At 44.7% G+C, this 22620-nt stretch overlaps 1 protein-coding gene across 2 annotated transcripts in view, besides 2 other annotated features; it reads left to right on the top strand.

Annotated features, from left to right (window-relative positions):
* The window catches only part of NBAS (NBAS subunit of NRZ tethering complex), a 782426-nt gene that overhangs the window by 464283 nt on the left and 295523 nt on the right, over positions 1 to 22620 (top strand). The window contains exon 53 of one of the 2 annotated variants that reach the window (XR_007076390.1): positions 13133 to 13187. The exons of the other annotated variant lie outside the window; for it this stretch is intronic. The gene's annotated coding sequence lies outside the window, so the exon portion shown is untranslated. The remainder of the gene's footprint in view (positions 1 to 13132; positions 13188 to 22620) is intronic. 2 annotated transcript variants of the gene reach the window in all.
* Positions 11098 to 11782: an enhancer, noted in NCBI's record as "H3K27ac-H3K4me1 hESC enhancer chr2:15225394-15226078 (GRCh37/hg19 assembly coordinates)". NCBI's record gives its function as "activates a minimal SCP1, AML or CMV promoter by ChIP-STARR-seq in naive H9 embryonic stem cells {active_cell/tissue: H9 hESC(naive)}" and the evidence as "EXISTENCE:reporter gene assay evidence [ECO:0000049][PMID:30033119]".
* Positions 11783 to 12468: an enhancer, noted in NCBI's record as "H3K27ac-H3K4me1 hESC enhancer chr2:15224708-15225393 (GRCh37/hg19 assembly coordinates)". NCBI's record gives its function as "activates a minimal SCP1, AML or CMV promoter by ChIP-STARR-seq in naive H9 embryonic stem cells {active_cell/tissue: H9 hESC(naive)}" and the evidence as "EXISTENCE:reporter gene assay evidence [ECO:0000049][PMID:30033119]".

The raw sequence follows: 22620 nt of genomic DNA, 5'->3' as shown, positions 1-22620 counted from the left end.
AGCTTGGCAGCTTGCATCCTTCTCTTCTCTGTCTGCCCACCACATTCCTGCATTTCTCTTTTGGTGTCTCTTGGGCTCCCCTCCCAAGCAATTTCCTCACATCCACATTCTTGCTTCAGTCCCTGAGTCTATAAGCTCCTGTTTCCTCTCTTGCATAAACTTTCTCCCTGTTTTGCTCCTCTGTAACTTTATTGTTTTCCACTGTGCTGGGACATTAGCAGGTCACAACCAATATATTTTTTTTGTGGGTGAAGTGACTGATCTCTTTCAGGAACTAGAACAGAGACTCAGGGAACAAACCCTCAGCGTAAGCCACAAACCCACTGAGGCAGAGGCGGCCCCTTTGCATCTTCCATCTCAGTTGCCTGCTCCTTGGTGTCATAGGTGCTTGGTAACATGGCACCTCCCTGTCTGTGGGTGGCAGGAGAACAGCCTTTGAACCCATTTGTCCGAGACTGCATAAGGAGAGTTGTTGCATTTGGGAAGTGCCCTGAGGGCCTTAGGAGGAAGGGCTCATCTAATGAAGGACTGAAGGACTTTTTCTGAGCATCCAGAAACACCAAAGGTCTTGCTGTGTTTTCTCATTTTTAATTTGTTTTGCATAGAAAGCTTTTCTGCACCTCACAGAATGGCTTCAGTGAGGGTCAGTAATGATGGCATTGTGAGCCCCAGAGAGGCTGGGTCTTGATGTCAGTTGTGGCCCTGACTCACAGCAGGAAGAGCAATTAATTACCTAATTTGTCTCTGTCTCTCTTTGACCAGTTGGTAAATGGGGGAGCAATATTGCATCTTGTTTTAAAGGGCCAGCCAGCTGGTCTTGAAAAAGCAAAGTTATGAATGTGGGGCTTTGAAAACCCTTAGGTGAAGGACAACTGTTCAGCCTTGTGTCTGAGCTGAGCTGTTGTTGTTTTAAACAAAGGCTTCCAGGAAAGACTGGGTTGATGGAACTGATACATCTAAAGAATAGGACCCAAGACATGGTCTTGATAGGCCTCTTAACATCCTGGCCTTGTGCTTCAAGCCCAGACATGAGGAGTTCCCGAAGGGAGCTTGCGCCTGGGCTGGGGGTGGCTCTGGCACCAGGGAAGCTGGGCAGTCACTCACTACCCTTCCTCCAGGCCATGAGCAGCCCCATGAGTGTCTCCAAGACACTGTCAGATACTGTGCCGTTTCTGCCTTCTGATGGCAGTGGGATGGAGAACAACAGTTGGACTGGAGGAATCAACCACTGACTAAGGCCAAGCTTGCAGGAGAAGCTTGAGCTCCCATGTCAGGGCCTGGGGAAAGGTGACCATATGGCCACCAACTTGACAATGGGACATGTTTAATGTGGGAGTAAGAGGGGCGTTGGTGCTTACCAGGGAAGGTTCATGGGAGCTGGGTCCGTGCCTCCACACTGTGGGGGAAGGCAGAAAGAGCACCCAGAAAATCACAGCTGAACAGCTGAAAATGCTGTTTTCCTGCATGATATAGTTTGGCTGTGTCCCCACCCAAATCTCATCTTGAACTTTACTCCCATAATTCCCACGTGTGGTGGGAGGGAACTGGTGGGAGATAATTGAATCATGGGAGTGATTTCTTCCATACTGTTCTCGTGGTAGTGAATAAGTCTCACGAGATCTGATGGTTCGATAAGGTGAAACTTGTTTGGCTTGATTCTCATTCTCTCTCTCTTGCCTGCTGTGATGTAAAGCCTGCCTTTCTCCTTCCACCATGATTGTGAGGCCTCCCCAGGCACGTGGAACTGTGAGTCCATTAAACCTCTTTCTTTTGTAAATTACCCAGTCTTGGGTATGTCTTTATCAGCAGCATGAAAATGAGCTAAAACACTACATCTATAGCTGTGGGCCTGCAGGGCTGTTATATGAGAAAAACAAGTTGCAGAATAATGTGTATGCAATGGCCGTTCTTTAATAAAAATAAGCAGGGCCACCTCCTATGCATGTTTTATGGTGGAAAGACACACACCAGGCTGTCTCCATTGAACCTAAGAGGCGGAGACATGGCAAAGATTGTAGAGAAGATTATATTTTACTATACATTTTCTTAATTTTTAAACAAATATGGGGCATACATGTTACTTTTATAATTTTTGATAAGGAATTTAACAAAAGGGTTATATAATATAAAAAGAAAGTTGTGGTTTGCTCTTTCAAATTTGGCCAGGTCCACCCTTGCCTCATCTCCCTATGCCTGGGAGCTTTCTGGAACCTGGAATCTCTGCTGAGACCCCGTCGGCTTCCTGCTGCATCTTTCTGCTTCTGGTTCAGGCCCATCCTGGAGGACAGACTGCAAAGGGCCGGCGGGAGCATTTTAGAACCTGGAGCACTGCAGGGTTCAGCCGGCTGAGGGAAGCTGGGCACAGTCTTGTAGCCCATCAGTCCGCATATTCTCAGCACAAAAAGCTCTCAGTCTTTGACTGCCAGGCTGGAACTTAAAGCCAGAGGCTTGGCTTAGCTTCCATTACAAATGTCCTGAGCCATGCAGGCTCTTAATAAGAAAATTGATTCAGCCCCAGGCTTAATCCCGGAGTTATATTTTTTCCCCCATGATAGCAAGCTTATGGCTCTACAATATCTAATTTAGATGATTTGAAAATGTATTCTTTGACAAGGCTTAATTAAAGTGGATTGTACCTATATGGGAACATTTTACAATTTCCATAACAAACACTATTATTACCAGGAGCAATGTATTTTTTTGTTCTATTGATGTCTTTTATGGAGATGTCATAAAAAGAAGATTATGACTTCTCATTATGAGGCAGATGGAGGAGAAGATGCATTTTGATTACTAGAGAGGGAAATATGTTCTTTCCAAACAGTTACCTTAATAGCCAGTGAGGGCTGGACTGGACTGGAATGGGAGGTCTAGGCAAATGACTTTTTTATGGGCCTGACTTTATAGCAGCTTCCTTTTGCATGTTTCAAAGGAGAGCCATCAAATGTGAAGCCGATTCTTCAGTTTGGCTAGAAACGAAGGCTCCACAGGTTGTATGTCTTTCTGAAACTATTATTAACAATGAATACAACTCACTTTCTGAGTCTCTTAGTAACAAGAAACTAGGCTTACTTTTAAAAATCCATTATAATGAGATAACACTTTACATCTGTGAAGTATTATGAGAATCACCCATTAAAAATATTTTGTATTATAGGAGCAGTGTATTTTCATTGTAATAAACTGGAATAACATTTTTTTCTATGCTTAAACATAGTCTTTTTCTATGCTTAAAAAAATAGCCAGGCTTGATTATTCATATTATGAGCATTTTCTCTATGTCTTTAATTATTGTTTCAAACACCATTTTAAATGACTTCATATTATTTTACCTTTGGTTGTAACATTATTTAACCAGTGTTGGACATAATTTACTTTTTTCAAGTTTTTCATTTGTGTAAATAACACTGATAAAGTTCCTTATAGAAAATCTTTGTCCACATTGCTGGCGAATTTCCTAGAATCATCTCTGGAAATAGAATTACTGGGTCAAAGTGTGTAAACATATTGCCAATTAGCTTTGCAGAATCTGCACCAATTAATACTTCACATATGATCACATAAAATATATGTTGAACATGGTTATCAACATTTGTGAGGCAGCAATACAATAGTGCCCTTTTTATTTTTTATTTTGAAATGGAGTGTTGCTCTGTTGCTCAGGCTGGAGTATAGTGGCATGATCTCGGCTCACTGCAACCACCGCCTCCCGGGTTCAAGCGATTTTCCTGCCTCAGTCTCCCGAGTAGCTGAGATTACCGGCACGTGCCACCACAACCCACTAATTTTTGTATTTTTAGTAGAGACGGGGTTTTACCATGTTGGCCAGGCTTGTCTCAAACTCCTGAGCTCAAGTGATCTGCCCGCCTCCGCCTCCCAAAGTGCTGGAATTACAGATGTGAGCCACTGCACTCGGCCCAATAATGCCTTTTTATTTTAGTTTCACGTCTTTGATTACTAAGCAGTCATTGAGATTGCAGAGGTGCCAGAGCAGGCTCACGGAGGCCCTTGAACAACCGCTAGTGCCAGGGACAGACACCCTGCAGGGTTTAAGTAACTTTAACCCCCAGGAACATTTTAGAAAAATTCCATTTACATTTTGTGCTTTGGGTAAAAACACAGTGCTATGCTTATGGAATTTGTCTTGCTTCTTCTTCCACCACCAGAAGGATCAGCGGTGACTCACCAGCTCTGAAAGGGGATTAGACCTCCTATGATTTCAATTTGACTTAAGCAATAATCATGTCATATGCAAATCCCTGAAACCCAAAGTAGACATTTTTTAAAGCCGACTTCATATAGAGTCAATTATCCTGAGCAGATTATGTTTTTAGTTCGGACTAATTATCCGTGAATTGGACATACTGGAGGAAGTTCTGGCTGGGTCCATAGACAGGAACATGGAGCCAGGCAAGGGAAGCCTGTTACTGCAGAACTAGGGAACTTCAAAGACACAGCTGAAAAGCCAGAAGGAAAACAAAGACTTGTAACATATTTGCAGTACAAAATGTGGAGTTGGGGGTGGGGGGAGGAGTGCAAAATTCAGAAGCAATTAATTCATTTCTTTCGGAGCTAATTTATGAATCTTTACTCTGAACTCTCCAAGTCCCTTCCTTTGTTTCAGGTCCAATACTCCTTGTGATTCACATACCTAATTAATTAGAACATACATTGCCTTACTTTGCCAAAGGTGCATAATTTATCATGCTGGGCTCTTGAAACCATCTTAGGTAGATTTTTTGAAATGTATGCAAATTGACTCACCACCAGCTCTGCAGTTCAACAATGGAAACTGGGTGTTCCTATGGGAACCCTTGAAAGTGTACCTTCTTTTCCTTACTTGGGATCTTTAAAACCAAGGGGTGGGAGGTCATTTTACTAATAGACAATTGAAGTGGAGAAGTAGTGTGGTGTATTTCAAATTTCTCATCTCCAGTTCATCCTGTGTGTGCTACTGTGACCAGGGCCTCAGTTTCCCCATTTACAGTTGACCCTTGAACAACATAGGAATTGGCACATTGACCTTCTGGCAGTCAAAAAATCATGTATAACTTTTGGCTTCCCCAAACTTAGCTAATAGCCTATTGTTAACCAGAAGCTTTACTGATAACATAAGCAGTCTTTTAACACGTATGTTGTATGTTACATGTATTATATACCGTATCCTTACAGCAAGTAAGCTGGAGAAAACATGATATTATTTTAAAAAAACACAAGGAGGCTGGGTGCGGTAGCTCATACCTGTAATTCCAGCCCTTCGGGAGGCCGAGGCTGGCAGATCATTTGAGGTCAGGAGTTTGAGACCAGCCTGGCCAATATGGCGAAGCCCCATCTCTCCTAAAAATACAAAAATTAGCCAGGTATGGTGGCAGGCGCCTGTAATCCCAGCTACTCTGTAGGCTGAGGCACAAGAATTGCTTGAACCCGGGAAGTGGAGGTTGCAGTGATCCTAGATAGTGCCACTGCACTCCAGCCTGGGCAACAGAGCAAGACTCCAACTCAAAAAAAAAAAGAAAAAGAAAAAAGAAAATAGAAAAGAAAAGAAAAAACAACAAAGCAAAGCAAGCCAAAAAAACCACAAGGAAGAGAAAATATATTTCCCATTCATTAGGTGGAAGTGGATCTTCATAAAGGTCTTTATCCTCATCATTTTCACATTGAGTAGGCTGAGAAGGAGGAAAAAGAGGAGGGGTTACTGTCTCAGGAGTGGCAGAGGCGGAAGAAAATCCACATATCAGTGGACCCATGCAGTTCAAACTGTATGAAGTGGGAGGAGGTCATTGAATTAGATGGTCTCTGAGAGAGCTCCCAAGGCATGCATGCTGTGTCACAAGGTGGCCTGGACTTAAGTTTCCCATCGAGTTCTTGTTTCTGCAAGGCCAATAACGTATTAACCGACAGACAGCCTGGACTTGGGTTTGAGACACCACAAAAAATGGAGGAAATTCCACTTTCATTGACTTATCTAGAATTTTTCAACCAGAGATGCCTAGAAAAAGGCTATTTTGGCTTTATTATAGTTTGTCTTGTTTGTGTTAGGGCTTGGGGTATGTTTTGAATTATAGTTGTAGGTAAGGTACGAGGGTGAGTACTGTAATCTTTTCGGCGTTCAGGACCTCTCAGGACTTAGCTGAACCCCATGTCAACCTAAGCATTCTCTTCACGATAAGACTGCTAATTAGGACTTCTGAAAGTCAAGCGGTTTAGGCTATGTAAGGCTAGCGTGTGAAAGCCGTTCCAAATGCTTTTATCAATGCTGCAGAGCTTTCAAATAAAGACCTCTTGCTTCCTATGGCTTTTCCAAATAAGGAATGGGGATTTTGTCCGTGTAAATGTCAGTATAAATATGCATCTGAGTGTTGGCCACGTTAGCTACCTACCTATAAGGATTTTTACAGCCTCAGGTGGATTCTCTCTGAGGCTGGAAAGGTAACAAGATCAGGCTGTGCTTTTCTGTTTTAATTACTTTTCTATTTGGAGTGTAATTTCAGAGATGTGTTCTTAATTTTCCACAGTGAGGTTTGGGGGTAAATGTAAAGGGATGTCCTCTCCATTTCTCTGGATTTTTATAGCTTGCTCAAGCCAGATGACAGTCCTGCAGCTGTTGCCTTGAAAACACCTGGCCCCTATACAGATACCAGAATATGAACGCTGGTTGACCCAGATACGTATGTCTTATGTCAAGGTTATTTAATATTTTACATCAATGAAAGCCACAGCTGAGCTGGAGAAATCTTGGAGTTGATGTGATTCACACATGGAGGACAGAGTGACTTGTCTCTAGGTGAGTGGGCTGCAATGGAGAGAGCTGAAATGAGTGACTCTCACAACCTTTTTGTTCCAGTTCACACCTTGAACAGGCTTAAAGAAACAGACACACACGTAGCAAATGGCAGAGGCCATAGTAGGGGCAGGGACTTGACGTGCTGAGCTGACATCTTTTGGGAACAATTCAGAGTCCTATCTATGCTTTTGGCCTGCAGAATGTTTAAAAACCTTGACCAGGCCGGGCACGGTGGCTCACACCTGCAATCCCAGCACTTTGGGAGGCTGGGGTGGGCGGATCATGAGGTCAGGAGTTCAAGACCAGCCTGGCCAACATGGTGAAACCCCGTCTCTACTAAAAAATACAAAAATTAGCCAGGTGTGATGGCACATGCCTGTAATCTCAGGTACTCAGGAGGCTGAGGCAGGAGAATCGCTGGAACCTGGGAGGCAGAGGTTGCAGTGAACTGAGATTGTGCCACTGCACTCCAGCCTGGGTGACAGAGCGAGACTCTGTCTCAAAAAAAAAAAAAAAAAAAAAAAAGTCCTGACCCAATTGTCAACCTTTAAAAGGCAATGATTTCACTTAAAAATTTGATTTTCAGCTTCTTTTGAAAAAGAATTCCTGACAACACTGGGCAGGTATTTCTGGAGCTGGGTGGGAGCTGCTCTCATTCCACTCTCCCACCCTGTCACTGTACTGGGTCCCTCCCCGCCTCCACCCCTGTTTTGCTGGTTTCATTACCTGCCTGGACTGGGAGTATCCGAGCCTGTGGCCCTAGCTCTAAACTAATGTAAACACCAGTCTGGGCAAGTTTTTAATCTTCCCTAGGTCTCAGTTTTTCCATTTGTAAAATGAGGAATTGGATTGGATAGGGCCCCAAGTCTCTCCCAATTCTCAGATTTCATGATTTTGGGGTGATTATGAATTTTAAAATACTTCGGGCACATATTGAGAAGCAGTTACACTTCTTTGACCTTGAAGAATTCTAAAATTCCTGAAGGGGGCTAGGTGCGGTGGCTCATGCTGTAATCCTTGCACTCTGGGAGGCCGAAGCAGGAGGATTGCTTGAGATCAGGAGTTCATGACCAGCCTGGGCAACATGGTGAGCCCCTATCTCTACAAAAAACTGAAAAATAAAATTCATGAAGTGTTACAAAACCATTTGTATTTTGTCATTGGGAGACCAAGGCTTCTACTACTAGTTTGAAGGATTTGTGGGAGAACCGAAGGTGTGGTTTAGCTGTGGGGTTTGTCTCCACCTTTCAAGCAGGCCAGGAGGCTGCAGGGATGGGGTATCAACAGAGGGACACCTTTGCTTTGTGCCTGGTGCTTACTGTGTAAATCCAGCCTAGCTCTAGACAGCCCTGTCTGAATTACAGGCCCGTCTATTGGCCTGAATCCTCACATCTTCTCTCCCATCCAAATCGGTTTCTGGGCATGAGAAGAACACTGGGCCAGGAGCTGGCCGCTCTAGATTCTTGCCTTGGATCTATCTTGGTTTTACTGCATGGTCCTGCTCATGTCCCTTATCACTTTCCACCTCTGTGAGAATGAAAGAAATTTCTTCAAGCTCTAACATCCTATGCTCCTAAGGTTCATCTGATGGTCCTCTAGGAAGCACCGAGGGAAAGCCTACAGAGGAAATCGCTGGGTCCCCTTCCTGCAAACCACTTGCAGTGTGTTGAGGACAGTATACAGACCCAGCAGGAGTGAATCAATAAGCCATGCTCTCTGGCCCTGAGAAACTTTATATCTAGTGGGAAAGAGAGAAAATATACTTAAGACTCTATCACAGAAGAGGAAATAAGTGCCATTTGTCTCCTTTTTCTCCACTTTCAAGGGTCATTCATGTTCAACATCTGAGCCTTTGCAGAGAAACAGAAAGAAATAATTTGAAAAGAAGAGCAGAAAAATATAAAAATTAGATTAAAAATTGTCTCTTGTCAGATTGATTTTTCTAAAACACAGCTCCTATGACATACTCTGAGAATGCTCTGTCCTTGTAAAGTCTTGTATGGAGTTCAAATTCCTTCATAGATTCTTTCTCTTTTGGCTCCAAACAACCAGCATGACTACCTTTTGCTCTTCACCAGTGAGAGAAACCATGACCCTCTGCTCATGTCCTCCCCAAACAAGCATCCCTTATTCCTGCTCGACCTGCCCACCCAGCCTCTCCTTCTCTACAAATCCAGGAGTACCTCCAGGGCCCCATTTATGTGGTGCAGCTCACCCTACGGGTATCTCCTCTGAGCACATTCCCGTCTCTTCTCAATTCTCTTGCACTGGCTCACTCATTGTTCTGGCCCATGCTGCCTGTTCTTAACGATTTTCACTCTCCGCGTGTTTTGTCTCTGCAACCGTAATGCAACCTACTTCACCCCAGAGTTTGTGCTTTGAGTTCCTGCCACAGGGAATTTAGACACAGTAAAGGCTGAGTAAATATTTGTTAAGTGAACAAATGACTGAGTGAGTCAATGAAGGAAAAGCTAAAAGGAACAAATGTTATCCATGTGAATGGTACACCGCCTCTCAAATGGCACAGCTTCTCTCCTTGCTTTCATCAATTTCTCACCGGCTGACATTTCCTGTATCTTGCCATTGGTGCACACAGGCACTCAGGCCTGGCCAGTGTCCTTCCCAGGCTAAAAAGGATCTCATTTTCAAGGTTGTCTTTTCTTGGTGCTTCAGAGGTTGACCAGCTGACGAGTTCTCTGAGAACATTTACTATTTTTCTTCCTCTGCCCTGGAGAAAAGGGCTAGGCTGGCCACTTTATCTTCCTTATCTGTGATACTGCAGCCAAATGTCATTAGTCTGACCAGTTAGGGATGAAGGACAGACCAAGGAAGGAGAAAGCCTGACCATAGACATCATGCTCAAGGAACCCACAGTTTGTCTTCTCTAACTACTTCTTACTATGTGACTGATACTGCCCAGAAGTTACTCAGGTACCTATTTTAATAAATGGATGAGAACAACATATAATAACTGTATTAGAATTCTTCAGAGAAACAGAACCAATATGGGGTGTGTGTGTGTGTGTGTGTGTGTGTGTGTGTGTTTGTATAAAAAGATTTAAGGAATTGGCCCACATGATATGGAGGCTGGCTAGTCCCAAGATCTGCAGGGTGAGACCTAGGAGAGCTGATGGTGTGGTTCTAGTCCAAAGGCTGGCAGGCTTGAGACCGGGAAGAATTGGTGTTTCAGTTCAAGTCTGAAATCAGGGGAAAAAAATGATGTTCCAGTTTGAAGGCTGTCAGGCAGGAAGAATTCTGTCTTCTCCAGGGGTGTGGTGTGTGTGTGCGTGTTGGGGAGTATCAGCCTTTTGTTCTGTTCAGGTCTCCAACTGATTGGATAAGGCCCACCCACATTAGGAAGGGCAATTTACTTTACCCTGTCTACTGATTTATGTTAATCTCATCTCAAAACACTCTCATAGAAACATCCAGAATAATATTTGACCAAATATCTAGGCACTCCTTTGTTACAGGATCTTTGGGGTGTCACTTTTCTGGCTGGAAACCTCTGTGCAGCTGTTGCAGTAGGGTGGGCAGCTGCAGGTGCCAGCATGGGCGCCAGCTCTCTGTGAGATTACAGCTGGACCAGGAGCACTGCAAGCAGCTTCCTCAGCTGGCACTGGGGAATGTGGTGGCACCGGAAGCTTGGAGATGCCAGGAAACCTCAGGGCCCTAAGGAAGGAGTGACATCCCTAACTTGGGAAGCTCACAGGTCTGGGCTCCCCAAGGGGCCACAGCTCTTCTCTCTGTCTGCAATATGGCAAGCAAGGGGCATGTCTCAGCCCTGTTTGTGTTATAGCTCTTTTAGCCTCACCGTTTGGTGGGTCCTGAGTTCTTGTCCTGCGACCAGGAAGAATGAGGTATGCAGACAAGTGGAGGATAAGCAAGAGGAAAAGGAGCTTTATTGAGTGATAGAGGGGACCAATAGGGGGTAGCTCCTTCCCACAGCCAGGGTATCCCGAGTGTTCAGCTTCTAGCAGAGAGGAGACCCTGGAGTGGGAAGCTCCTCTCAGAGGGGAGACCCTGGGATAGGTTGCTCCTCTCTGCAACTGGTCTTCCTGATGTCTGCCCTGCTCTAGCTCAGCCTGGGGCTTTTATGAGTCTTGGAGGGGAGGAAGTGCATGGGGATTGGTCCATGGGCAGCCATGCAGGGGCCCAGAAAAGGCAACACAAGTCCCCACTCTGGTCTGTGGGACTGGAAACCTGTCCCCCAGGTTTCAGGCCCTACCTAGCCTGAAGGTGGGGCCTCACTGGGGACCCCACCCCTTCCCTCCAGGAGCCATCTGCCTCCTGCCTCCATCCCTGGTGCCCAGGATGCTCATGCCATGGGCGCCTGCAGGCCATCACTGACCTGCCCGAAGCACCTCCTCAGATTACCCCCTCACCCTCCCCCACACTTCTGGGCACCCAAAGTCCAGGGCCTGAGGTGGCAGGGGGCTGGCATGTCAGCACTGCCCCCAGCGTGTGCACCCCTGCTCCACGTTTCTCTGAGATCGGAGCTGGTGCCCACAGTGGGGAGAAGCCAGGTAGTGGGAGCAGGCACTTCTGAGCATACAAGAGCATGGGGGGCCTTCGTAGGCCCCCAAGAGCACACAGAGGCCCGGATCCATTATCCTGACTTGGGTGGCTGCAGCTGTGCTCAGGAGGGCAGGGCTGCTGCCTGCTCCCAGTTCCCACTGGCTCTGTGGAGCATGCAGCCATGGCCATGCCCCCTCACAGCCTGGAGCAGGGGCTCCAGGTCCTTGCTGGGCCTGGGCCTGCATCTGGGGCAGGGGTGATACCGCCATGAGCTCCCCACATTGCCCCAGCACTGAGAGGTGGCCCTGGGCTGAGGGGATCGGGCCCCAGGCCTGACTGTAGGGAGTGTCAGGCTCGGCGGTCACTTCCACGCAGGGCAGACCCCGAGACGCAGCCCCAGGTGGCCCTGTGCAGAGCCTCCTCCTGAGGCGCAGGAACACGGCACCCTTGGTGGGGTGGGCCCAGTGGCTGCACCACTGGTCGGGTCCCTGAAGTGGGTGCCGCTCTCACTTGCACCCCGGGCCTCCAAAGTGCAGCCCCATCTCTGTGTCCGGAACCGGCCCCCGCACTCCGTGTGCAAGTGTGGCACCACCCCGGGCCCAGCTCTGCCTCGGGTCCCTCTGCCCAACTGCGTTGCTCCTCCGCTGTATTGCTTCCTCACCGACGGGCTACTTGGCCCGGCCCGTCACAGCAGCCCCCAGGGCGGAAAGCTGCGGAGAGGAGGTGGGGCGCTGTCCGCCTCCTCCCTGCATGCTCCCTGCAGCGGCCAGCATGATGACAGCGGCCACTCCAGATGGCCCGCTACTGCCATTACCTTGACCTCATCAAGTTGACATGTAAAATTAACTATCACGGTAACCAAAACAAGAGATTTTAACATAATGAATACCTTTCAAGTGGTTAGAGTCTTCGAGGATAATTTGTTTTGCTTCACGTTGCCTAAATGTTCTGCAGTTTGGTCTACACCCTGAGTGAACCAACTTCTCAGACCTTTGAAAAGGGGGAGGGAAGAGAGATGAGGAGGAGTGGCAAGCGTGAATTCCTCCATAAGGAACCCCCCCCGCCCCGCCGATATGGTGTGTGAGAGTGTGAGCACAGCTTTTCCTGCCTCCAGAAGTGGAAGATGGAAGGCTCACTGGTTTAAGCAGAGCTTCTGGAATCAGTGTTTCACCTTATGGAGCCACAGTTGAAGTACAGTGGGACTCCCAGTGGATAATTCAGAGGCAGGAAAATAGAGTCCATCCCAGGCACTCTGAGGTATTTCTAACACTGATTTTTCTGGGAATAAACCACTTGAATGACAGATTAATTAACAAATGATAGCTATAGTTTTTGTTTTGTTTTTGTTTTTACATTACTTCTGTGATCATATAAATAAAAGCAACTGGGCCAGGTGCTGTGGCTTACGCCTGTAATACCAGCACTTTGGGAGGCTGAGTCAGGTTGATCACTTGGGTCCAGGAGTTCGAGACCAGCCTGGGCAACATGGCAAAAACCCTGTCTCTAGAAAAAAATGCAAAAAATTAGGCAGGCATACACTATAGGTGGTGGTGGACACCTGTAGTTCCAGCTACTCTGGAGGCTGAGGCGGGAGGATTACTTGAGCCCAGGTCAAGGCTGCAGTTAACCTTGATCATGCCACTACACTGCAGCCTGGGCAACAGAGTGAGACCCTGTCTCAAAAAATAAAATAAATTGAAAAAAAAAAAGCAATTGTTCAGTGCTTCCCAAGTACAGTACTATTTACGATGCTAAATGTTTTCTATAGTTTTTTTTATTCGATCTAACCAGCAAACAAACCTAGTCTGCATTTTTGTTTCCATTTCACAGATGTCAAAACAGAAACTCAGAGACATTAAGCTACTTGTTCCAGGTTGCAGATCGGGTAAGTGAAGAGCTGAGAATGACATGCTGGTCTTCTCACCCCAAAGCTCATGGTCTGCTACCTCCACAATTGTCTACACTGCAAGAACAAGCCTCTTGTTACACAGGCTGGTCAGTCATTCCCAAAGACCTTTTAGTGGAATCCCTCTCCTCCTCTGGATGTATCCATACCAATTTGGAACAACTGTGATTTTGTTGTGATAATTGAAAAGGATTTGATGATTCTGTATATTATGTTGGTACAAGCAGGCTTTACCTGTAAGAAACATCTGTTCTTTCTGGATGACAACATTATTCTGAGATGGAATAAAAATGCAGAAGAGGGCAGATAATTTCATCCCACAACAATTTTCAGTTTTAGAATGGTTTTGCAAATGGTGCTGAAGGAGGTACCTATTCCATGTGGAATAGACTAGGACATTTTGTTCCTTCTGAACAAACCTGGGGAGAAAAAGAAAGAAAATCCAAGTTTTATTTTAAAAGCATTAAAAGGCTGCTGCTGTGTACTCAGTCACAGCTTTGGGCACCCACATGGCTACACACTGTGGAGATGGAGAGGGAAGAAGGCAGGCTTTGCCTGGTGGGCAGATGATTTAGTTCAGGAGCACTGTTGCGAAAGTGGAAACCCACTCAGCTCAGCTCCAGGATAATGGGGTATTGAAGGAAAGCACAGTCCAGCCAGGTACCCAGGGGTGGGAGAGGGGTACTGGGCAAGTTGCTGTCCCTCCACTTAAGATGAGCTCCATGGTGTCCCACACTTTTGCTCCATCCTGCACATAGCTGCTTTCCTCCTAATTAACTGCCAGGCCCACTACAGGGAGACTCATGCAAATGGAAATATTCCAAAGGATGAATAACCCCCCAAAACATGGTGGGGGGGAATTGCCCATTAACTTTCTGTGTAGCTTCAGTTATATCCAGTGTCCCATCTTCAACTTTTACACAAAGCTGGGTTTGAGCCCTGGCTCTACTACATGTCAGCTGACTGTGGGCATGTCTTGTGACTCCTCAAAGTCTCAGTTCCCTCTTCGGTAAACTGGAGACCATGGCTCCCAACACAGATACCAGGAGGAGTAAATGGGAGAATGCATGCCATGTGCTTTGGCAGTACCTAGGAAAAGATAGTTCTTATGATCTTTGTAGCTCTCTAAGTTTGGGGAAGTGAGCTGTTGGGTCCAGGGTGCTGGCTGGGCAGGCTGATGCAAACCCTGCCTCCTTGGGGGCTCTGGGAATGATTCTGTAGGGCTGTTTGCTCAGGGAATCTGGTAAAGGAGGGAGCAAGAGAGAGAATGTAAGAGCATAACCAAGTAGGAGTGCTGGGAGCCAAACTGGGTCAGGAGCTGGGGTGCAGCATGGAGCCGAATTAAAGGCCCAGAGAGAGTGAAAGTGACCTTCCAGCTCTGATATTTGTGAGTCTAGATGGTCTGCTGTCACGTGACTCAGAACATGAAATGAGCAAGTGATGTTAGAGGAGTCGTTAGGGTAGAGACCACATCTTTCCTCTTCACTGCTGCATCCCTGGCTCCTGGCACAATGCTCAGCTCATTATAGTGACTCCATAAACACCTGTTGAATACATGAATTCATGGATGAATGACATGGGCATTGTGAGAGTAAACTAACTGGGGCATAAGTAAGGAGCTGTGTAACGTGGAGTCATGGGTGTTACAAGGTCCTGGGCATGACAGGGTACTCATGCACAAAACCAGGTAAATTGGTCCAATAATACCACCACCACCAATACCACCATCCTTATCTTATTAATAGCTACCATTTTTACACACATTTTTGTTGGGGAGCAGAGTCTGTTTTAAGTTGTCTTGCTTTATTTAATTATTACAATTTCCCTGGTAGATAGATATCATTATTCTCATTTCACAGATGTGGAAACTGAGGCCAAAAGATTAAACACCTTTCTGAGGGTGACATAGTCAGTGAGTGGAAAAGTTGTGATTCTAACCCACATGTGCCTGACTCCAGCCAATGTTATAATGTCTGCCAAATATGCACCCTCTCTTTGTGGACCAAAAGGCCATCCTTCCAGGCAGCAGCCAAAGTGTCAAACAACTGGGGCTGTGTGATCCATCTAATCTGAGTCACACCTGGGTTGACCAGCGAACTAAGGGCAGTCATCTTACAGGCTCTGGGTTTAAGAGGGAGAGACCCCTGACCATAATTACACACGATAGGGAAGAGGGAGAGGTTCCTGGGACGCTGGGGCATCTCTTTCTAGTGAAAAAAGTCTGGAGAAGGATGTGGCTGCCTTGTGAGCAGCTCTTTCCAGAATGGTATTCTTGCGCAATGCCTTTGGATGAAGAGGTCGTGGGCATTGGGATAGCCAGTGGACTGTTGACTGTTGAGTTGGAGGCTCTGGCTGGATACACTGGACTGTTCTTATAAAATCATAGTAAGTAAATGTATAAGTATGGTATATGAGACATCTCTATATTTATATCTAGGTGGAGGATCTCATGAAGAGTGAGGAGATCCATAAACGACCTGAGTTTAGTTTCTCCTGAGCACACCGTCTTGGGCATACCTCCTTGGAGTTGCCTCCTGAAACCCCCAGAAGTAGCTTAGGGAGACTTATAGTGAAGAGTGAGGAGTTAACAATGATATGGGTAGGGATAGCACCAAGTCAAAATCCTAAATTAAAGTTAATAGGACCCCATTGCAACCTTCAGTCTGGTGAGACCAGGGATTGTTTGGGTCACAAGGAAAAAGGTTTTTGCTTTGCTTGAGCCAGAGGTAACTGGTTGATTGAGGGATCTTGGGCATATGTGTGAGAAGACCACCAAGAGACAGAAATAATTCAGGAAAAAGAGTCAGCTGCCTCTGCATGGTGGCCCGTTTTTATCTAGAGGTTGAAAAGCGGCTGTAAATTCCTTGGCAGCTGTCCATCAAGGGCTGGGTTTGTTTCTCAACCATTTGGATAAGGGTGGGCTTTGTGACCAACAGAAGAATGTTTGGAAGGGATGCTGTTATGGCTCCTAAGAAATTGAAAGCTTGTACTTCCCGGATATTTGAATTTTCTTTCTGAGAGCTCCATCCCCCCAGGTGGAAGTGTGACTATCCTGAAACTGTCATGCTGAAAGGTCACAGGTGGACTCCTCAGTCCAACAGTTCAGCTGAGCCCAAGCTTCCAGCCACCCCCACCAGGGTGCCAGACATGGGAGTGAAGCTGTCGGGTCTTCTGAACTAACCCATCCACCAGCTGAATTTCCCTGAGTGATTTCAGTTGATGGCTTATGAAGCAGAAAACTTACCCAGCTGAGCCTTGCTCAAGTTCTTGATCCATAAATTGTGAGATATAGTCAAATGGTTGTTTTTTAAAAAGTCACTGAGTTTTGGAGTGATTTGTTATTCAGTAATAGATAACCAGAATAATCATCTTTCAGCCCTCTTTCTTGCCCAGACTGGGGAGAGCTTCAAGTGTTGGTCAAACAAGGACAATGTTTCTGGAGAGATACAGGAGTATAACTGGCACGTGAAAGTATTTAGGGATGGCTGTGGCTCTGAAGTTGAATCTCTAGGACTGAGACCTTGTCTTCTTCAGTTCAGATTTAATACCTTATCTCTAGGTGCATGTGAACTCTTGGGCTTAAAGGGGCACAATTGACCATCATGATTCTGGAGTTCTGGAGGAGAAAGGACTGTCTTCTTTCAGCCATGAGTCTTCTACTAATGTTGAAGGAGGAATCCCTGTTCTCTTTCTTGGATGGAACATGGCTGTGGTGTTCATGGTATGATGGGACTTGCTTCTGGGGAAGGTGGTCTGGCTCATGGGATGAGGGTGGGGCTTGTTCTCCTTTGCCTTCTCATATTTTTGAACCTATAAGGTCAGATTGTAGGCTGCTATTCTTTATTCTATATCAAAGTCAAACAATAGTAAGAAAAGCACGGCTTATTTGTCAATATAATGGTTGTAAAAAATCATGCCAAATAAGTTTGAATTACTGTAAACATCATTTTATTTGTAAGTACTTATTAGTTATGTACTCTGTGCCTGGCCTTTGGAGCTAGAAACTAGCTCCACGGAGACAACGAAGACACAGTCCTGCCCTTAAAGTGCTAACCGCCTGCTAGAAGGTTGCAACACAGGATGGTGAGTGGCACAAGGAGGACCAATCCACGGGCTGCAGAAACCCAGGGGAGGAAAGGGGACATCTTCCAAGAACATCGTGGGAATGGGTTGGACAGATCAGATAAAATGGAACCTAGAGCTCTTTCATAAAGAGAAGAGCTTCAGGAATTGAGTGTGTCATAACTCAGGCTCTGCTACTTCAGAAGTAACAGCAGGGGTGATGGCAAGAGGTTTGGGTTAGCAGTGAGCACCATGAGGTCCTGTGTCCTTGGAAAGGAGGAGGAAAGGTGGCCCTGGCAGATCCCAGCTGAGACCTCAGAAAGGAGTGGTGGCTTCTGCTTGGCTCTTAGGGACCTGAAAGTGATAGTGATGATGGTGACATTCTTACTTATGATCTCTTTTAAATTCCCCAATATTTATGAGAAAGGAAATATCATATCCTGCTTTGTAGGTGGTGAAACTGAGGCTGAGAATAGTTAATTGTTTGGATGAAGCCCACACGACTAGTTAGTGGCTCAGATAGGTTTCTTATTTCATCCCAGTCTGGGATGAAATTTCATACTCCTACTTTTCAGAAGAACCAAGCTTGGTCAGAGTTAAAGCCTTTGAGATTAATCTGGTACTTTATCATTTTACAGAGTTTTATAGTCAGATTTTCCAGGATTTGGAGAGGATTCTGAGGTCACCTAGTCAGTCCAGCAACTTAAAACTGCATTGCACTTTTCCTACTTGAGGGGAGATTAGAAAAGTGATGGTGGAGATGACCTTCACTCAGTTTTCTATTTTGCAGAGCTTGATCATCATATCAAATTGCAGTTCATTCTGCTTTTTTTACCCCTTACGTGATGCACATTTTCTCATGTCTCACTTCACCTCCAGGAGGATTGAAATTTACTGGTATATAAAATTGTATATTGTCTTTGATCCCGATTTTGTTATGTGATCAAGAAGACCAGAAAGAAATACATCCAAATGATAAAAGTCGTCATCTGTGTTATGGACCAACTACTGATTTTTATGTCTGTTTTTATATTTTCTTCTGTACAGTCGAAATTTTTTTACAGTGCCAAGCACATTATGTGGAAGTGTTTCACTACAGACTGGCAGTCTGCATCTCAGATCTAGATCTTCAAATTCTATCTCAATCCAGGAGGTTCAGAGATAGGGTCCTTTTCCCCAGAAGACAGTGGGTGAAACTGACGGAGATCAAAGTCGTCTTTGTGCTTAATCCATGCACACCAGGCTGAAAAGTCTTTGCGAGTGCCAAATGGAAGCGCTTCCTTTCTCACCTTCTCTCTCAGAGATGTTGAAAAAGATTAAAGTGACAAAGTCAACAAGTTTCTTTGAACTTTCTCGAAGAAAGGATGGATGCAGGACAAAATGTTATTTATTTCTAGCAGTAAAAGAAGGAGCTACTAGGGAGACCTCTGTTGTGCTAGCTTTATTGATATGCCCATTATGTTTATAATAGTAATACTGATACCCCCATTAAGTCAATTCCCATACCAGCCACCATAGGGAAACTGACATTTGACCTTGTTACTTCCTTGCTTGAAACCTTTCTAGGACTTCCCATTGCCTGCAGGATAAAATTCAACTCTGTGTTATGGAACACAAATTATCTACTGACACCCTGTGCTCTGAGCATTAAACCTCAGCAAGTCCTACCACACCTTGGGGCTTTGCATATGCTTGGCCCTACATCCAAAATGCCTTTTCTCCTCTAGTATACTTTGAAAACGCCTGTGTAACCTTCAAAATCATGATTCAGAGACCTCCTTCTTAGAAGAAGCCTTCTTGGGCCAGGCGTGGTGGCTCATGCCTGTAATCCCAGCATTTTGGGAGGCTGAGGCGGGCAGATCACAAGGTCAGGAGTTCGAGACCAGCCTGACCAATATGGTGAAACCCCGTCTCTACTAAAAATACAAAAATTAGCCAGGTGTGGTGGTGCGTGCCTATAACCCCAGCTACTCAGGAGGCTGAGGCAGGAGAATCACTTGAACCCTTGAGGTGGAGGTTGCAGTGAGCTGAGATTGTGCCACTGCACTCTAGCCTAGGCAACAGAGCGAGACCCCATCTCAAAAAAAAAAAGAAAAAAAAAGAAAGAAAGAAAAGAAAGAAGCCTTCTTGGGTTTCCCTTCCCATCCTAAATGAATCCCATGCTTCATTATTACATCAGTAGTTCACATCTCCCTATATTACATGAAACACAATAGGCTGCATTTACTTGCTTGCTTTTCTGTGTTCCCAACTGAACAATAATCTCTTCGATGGAAAGCATGGTGTCTCATTTGTCACTCTATTCTCAGTGCCCAGCAAATGACTGACACAGAGGATTCATTCCAAGGAAATTTGTTGAACTGAACTGTTGAACTGTATATGAGTGGAATATCAGGATCTGATATAGTTTGTCTCTGTGCCCCCATCTCATCTTGAATTATAATCCCCACGAGTTGAGGGAGGGACCTGGTGGGAGGTGATTGGATTATGGGGGCAGTTTCCCCCATGCTGTTCTTGTGATAGTGAGTGAGTTCTCACAAGATCTGATGGTTTAAAAGTATGTAGCAGTTCCCCACTCTTTCCTGCTGCCATGTAAGACGTGCCTTGCTTCCTCTTCACCTTCCGCCATGATTGTAAGTTTCCTGAGGCCTCCCCAGCCATATGGAACTGTGAGTCAATTTAACCTCTTTTCTTTAAAAATGACCCAGTCTCAGGTAGTTCTTTATAGCAGTGTGAAAATGGACTAATACAGGATCCCAGTGGTGTAAGCCTTGAAACAACATATAGAAGAGAGAAACATCTTGATGGACAAACATAGAAGTGTGTCTGTATAATTTGGTCATATACCATAAATATGATTGTTTAGTGTCATTCTTGCTTGTTTGAATTATGATGCAACAATCCTAGCTGCTCCAGTTGAAAACTCTGAGCTGTTGTGAAATATTGCTCCATTCCTCCATGAAACAGACTGAGAAGAAATGAAGTTGCAAGAGAGGCATTCAGACAGACAGTGCCTGCACAGCTGTTGGCCTTGAACATCAGTATTGTACTGGCAGCCAGAGATATTCTGCCAGCCCACTTTATGGTGAGGGGCATTTTGAAGGAAGGTCTCCAGGCACTCGACTATGGGCTCAGTCAGCAATGATGAAGGTAGCTGATAGCTCAATGCCGCAGTGACATGGAAATCACCTCAGACTTCAGATGGGACTTGGGCTTACTAGACAGCCAAGAATCAGCCTCTGATGTTATTGGAACACAACTTGTATTTCTGTCGCCAAGTCCCAGTCCAAGTCAAACCCTGGGAGAGACACCTTCACAAAAATTTTATATAGGCGGATTTCCCTTATATCCTTTAGATTTCAGCCTCCTTCAAATTAGCATGACTAAAACGGCACGTTATCAGCAGAAAGGGCACACTGGTTTGCATGGTTTGCCATTGATTCTGAGAAACACTAGGTCCTATTCTGCTCAACGGACTTTTTTGTTGTTGTGGATATGTTAGATATTCCATGATCAGACTTCTGGGTTTTCAATGCCAAACTTCAAAACTTTTGTATCAGATAAGACAAAGCAAACACTCCTATCTTTTCAACTTCTACTGTCTGTGTGGAGTGGAGGAGAGCAGCTGGAACAGGCTACAAGGCTCAAGGGCTCGTGTGCCTAATAGAGGTAGTTATTAGAGCAGGAGTTGTTCAAATAGAGGTGCTTATTTTGAAAAGGTATGGCTCTTCAAAGTCACTCTGCCTCAAATAATTGTTTGGAGACTAAAGGTGGAGGGGCAGATTTGTAATTCTCTATCTTTAAATATCTCTCTGTATTTTAAAAGTAAAAACGTGTTCATTTTGTTTGAAAAACTTCAATTAGCACAAATTCATACAAAGTAAAATGTAAAACATTCATTGTTTCCAATTTTTACCAACCAACTTCATTCCTAGAGGCAAGGACTATGTAAGGATACCGTTTTCTGTGTATCCTTCTGGGCTTTTTCTGTGTGTATATGTGTGTGTGTGTGTGTGTGTGTATAAATTTTGGGGGGATCACATAAATGGCATCATACTACACATAATATATCAGGATCCCAATAGGAAACAAATGGCATGTTGGAATTAGGATAATTTAAAGGCAGTTTAGTTGGTTACAAGGGATTTTGGGGACTCACAAAAGATTGAGTAGGAAATTGGGGCTTGTGGCAGCAGAGCTGTGTGTAGCCCTAAGTCTGAAGGAATGAGAGGAAGGAATAGTTACTGGAATGATAAGGAGAATGTTCTGCAGAGATGAATGTTGCTTTTTGGTTGGGGGCACACAGCCAGCATGAGACAGCCTTGCAGTGAGGGAGCCAGTGAAATAAACACTTGGATCTCTTTCCTTCACTTTCTCTGATGTGCTTCTGGGGCATCCAAGCGGCTGATTCCAACAGGAGGCCAGAGGGCAGGTTGACACAGACCTGTCTCTAAGATGCAGGGCAGGGGGCAGGGTACCAGAGTGGAGAATGGATCTGCAGCACATGTGTTGATCTCAGCTTGCTTTTTACATTTAACAATAGATCATTGTTGTATTGTCATTTAAAAGAATACTCCATAGTATTCAGTTGTACTGTTCATCTCATCACTTACCAAAAATAATTTAGGTTATTTCAGGGTTTTTGCTATTACCAAAAAGGCACTATGAACATTTTTGTAGAAATAATTTTGTGTGGTTGTCCAGTTCACCAATACAATAAATTGCTTAAAGTAGAATTGCCGATTTGAAGAGTGTGTGCATTTTAATGTAGATAGTTTCTGTCAAATTACATTCTACCAGTAGCTTTCTGATATCCCCTCAACCAACACTGGGTATTGTTCATCATGAAATCCTTGCCATTCTGACAAGTGAGAAAGGATTTATTGGGATTTTTTCACTCTGAGTTCAGTTGAGCATCTTTACATGGTTATTGAACATTTAATTCTATCCATATGTGGTGCTTGAGATCTATTACTTGGCTTTCTCATGTGGATATAAGGTTTTCCATATTTGTAAGAGCTATTTGTCTATTAAGGAAATTATCCTTGTGTCTGTGATATGACTTGTAAATCTTTTCCCACACAGATCTTTATTTGTCTTTTGGTTTTGTTTATGTTTTTCCCCTATTATAGTTATATTATATAGAACTATATTTATTTTTCTCCTATTATATAATATATAACATGTTATAGTTCCCCTATATTATAGTTATTCATTTTTATCAAATGTAATTTGTTGCTGTATTTCTTTGTGACTTCTTGTCTATATAAGTTGCTTAAAATTTTTTCCTCATTGTGTGATTATAAATACATTATTTTTTCCTTGATATTTCCTCCCTCCCATCCTTCCT

This window comes from Homo sapiens, chromosome 2 (genome assembly GCF_000001405.40).
Source record: "Homo sapiens chromosome 2, GRCh38.p14 Primary Assembly".
NCBI classification, from domain to species: Eukaryota; Metazoa; Chordata; class Mammalia; order Primates; family Hominidae; genus Homo; species Homo sapiens.
The sequence above is the reverse complement of the archived record's forward strand: the minus strand, read 5'-3'. Positions and strand labels throughout refer to the sequence as shown.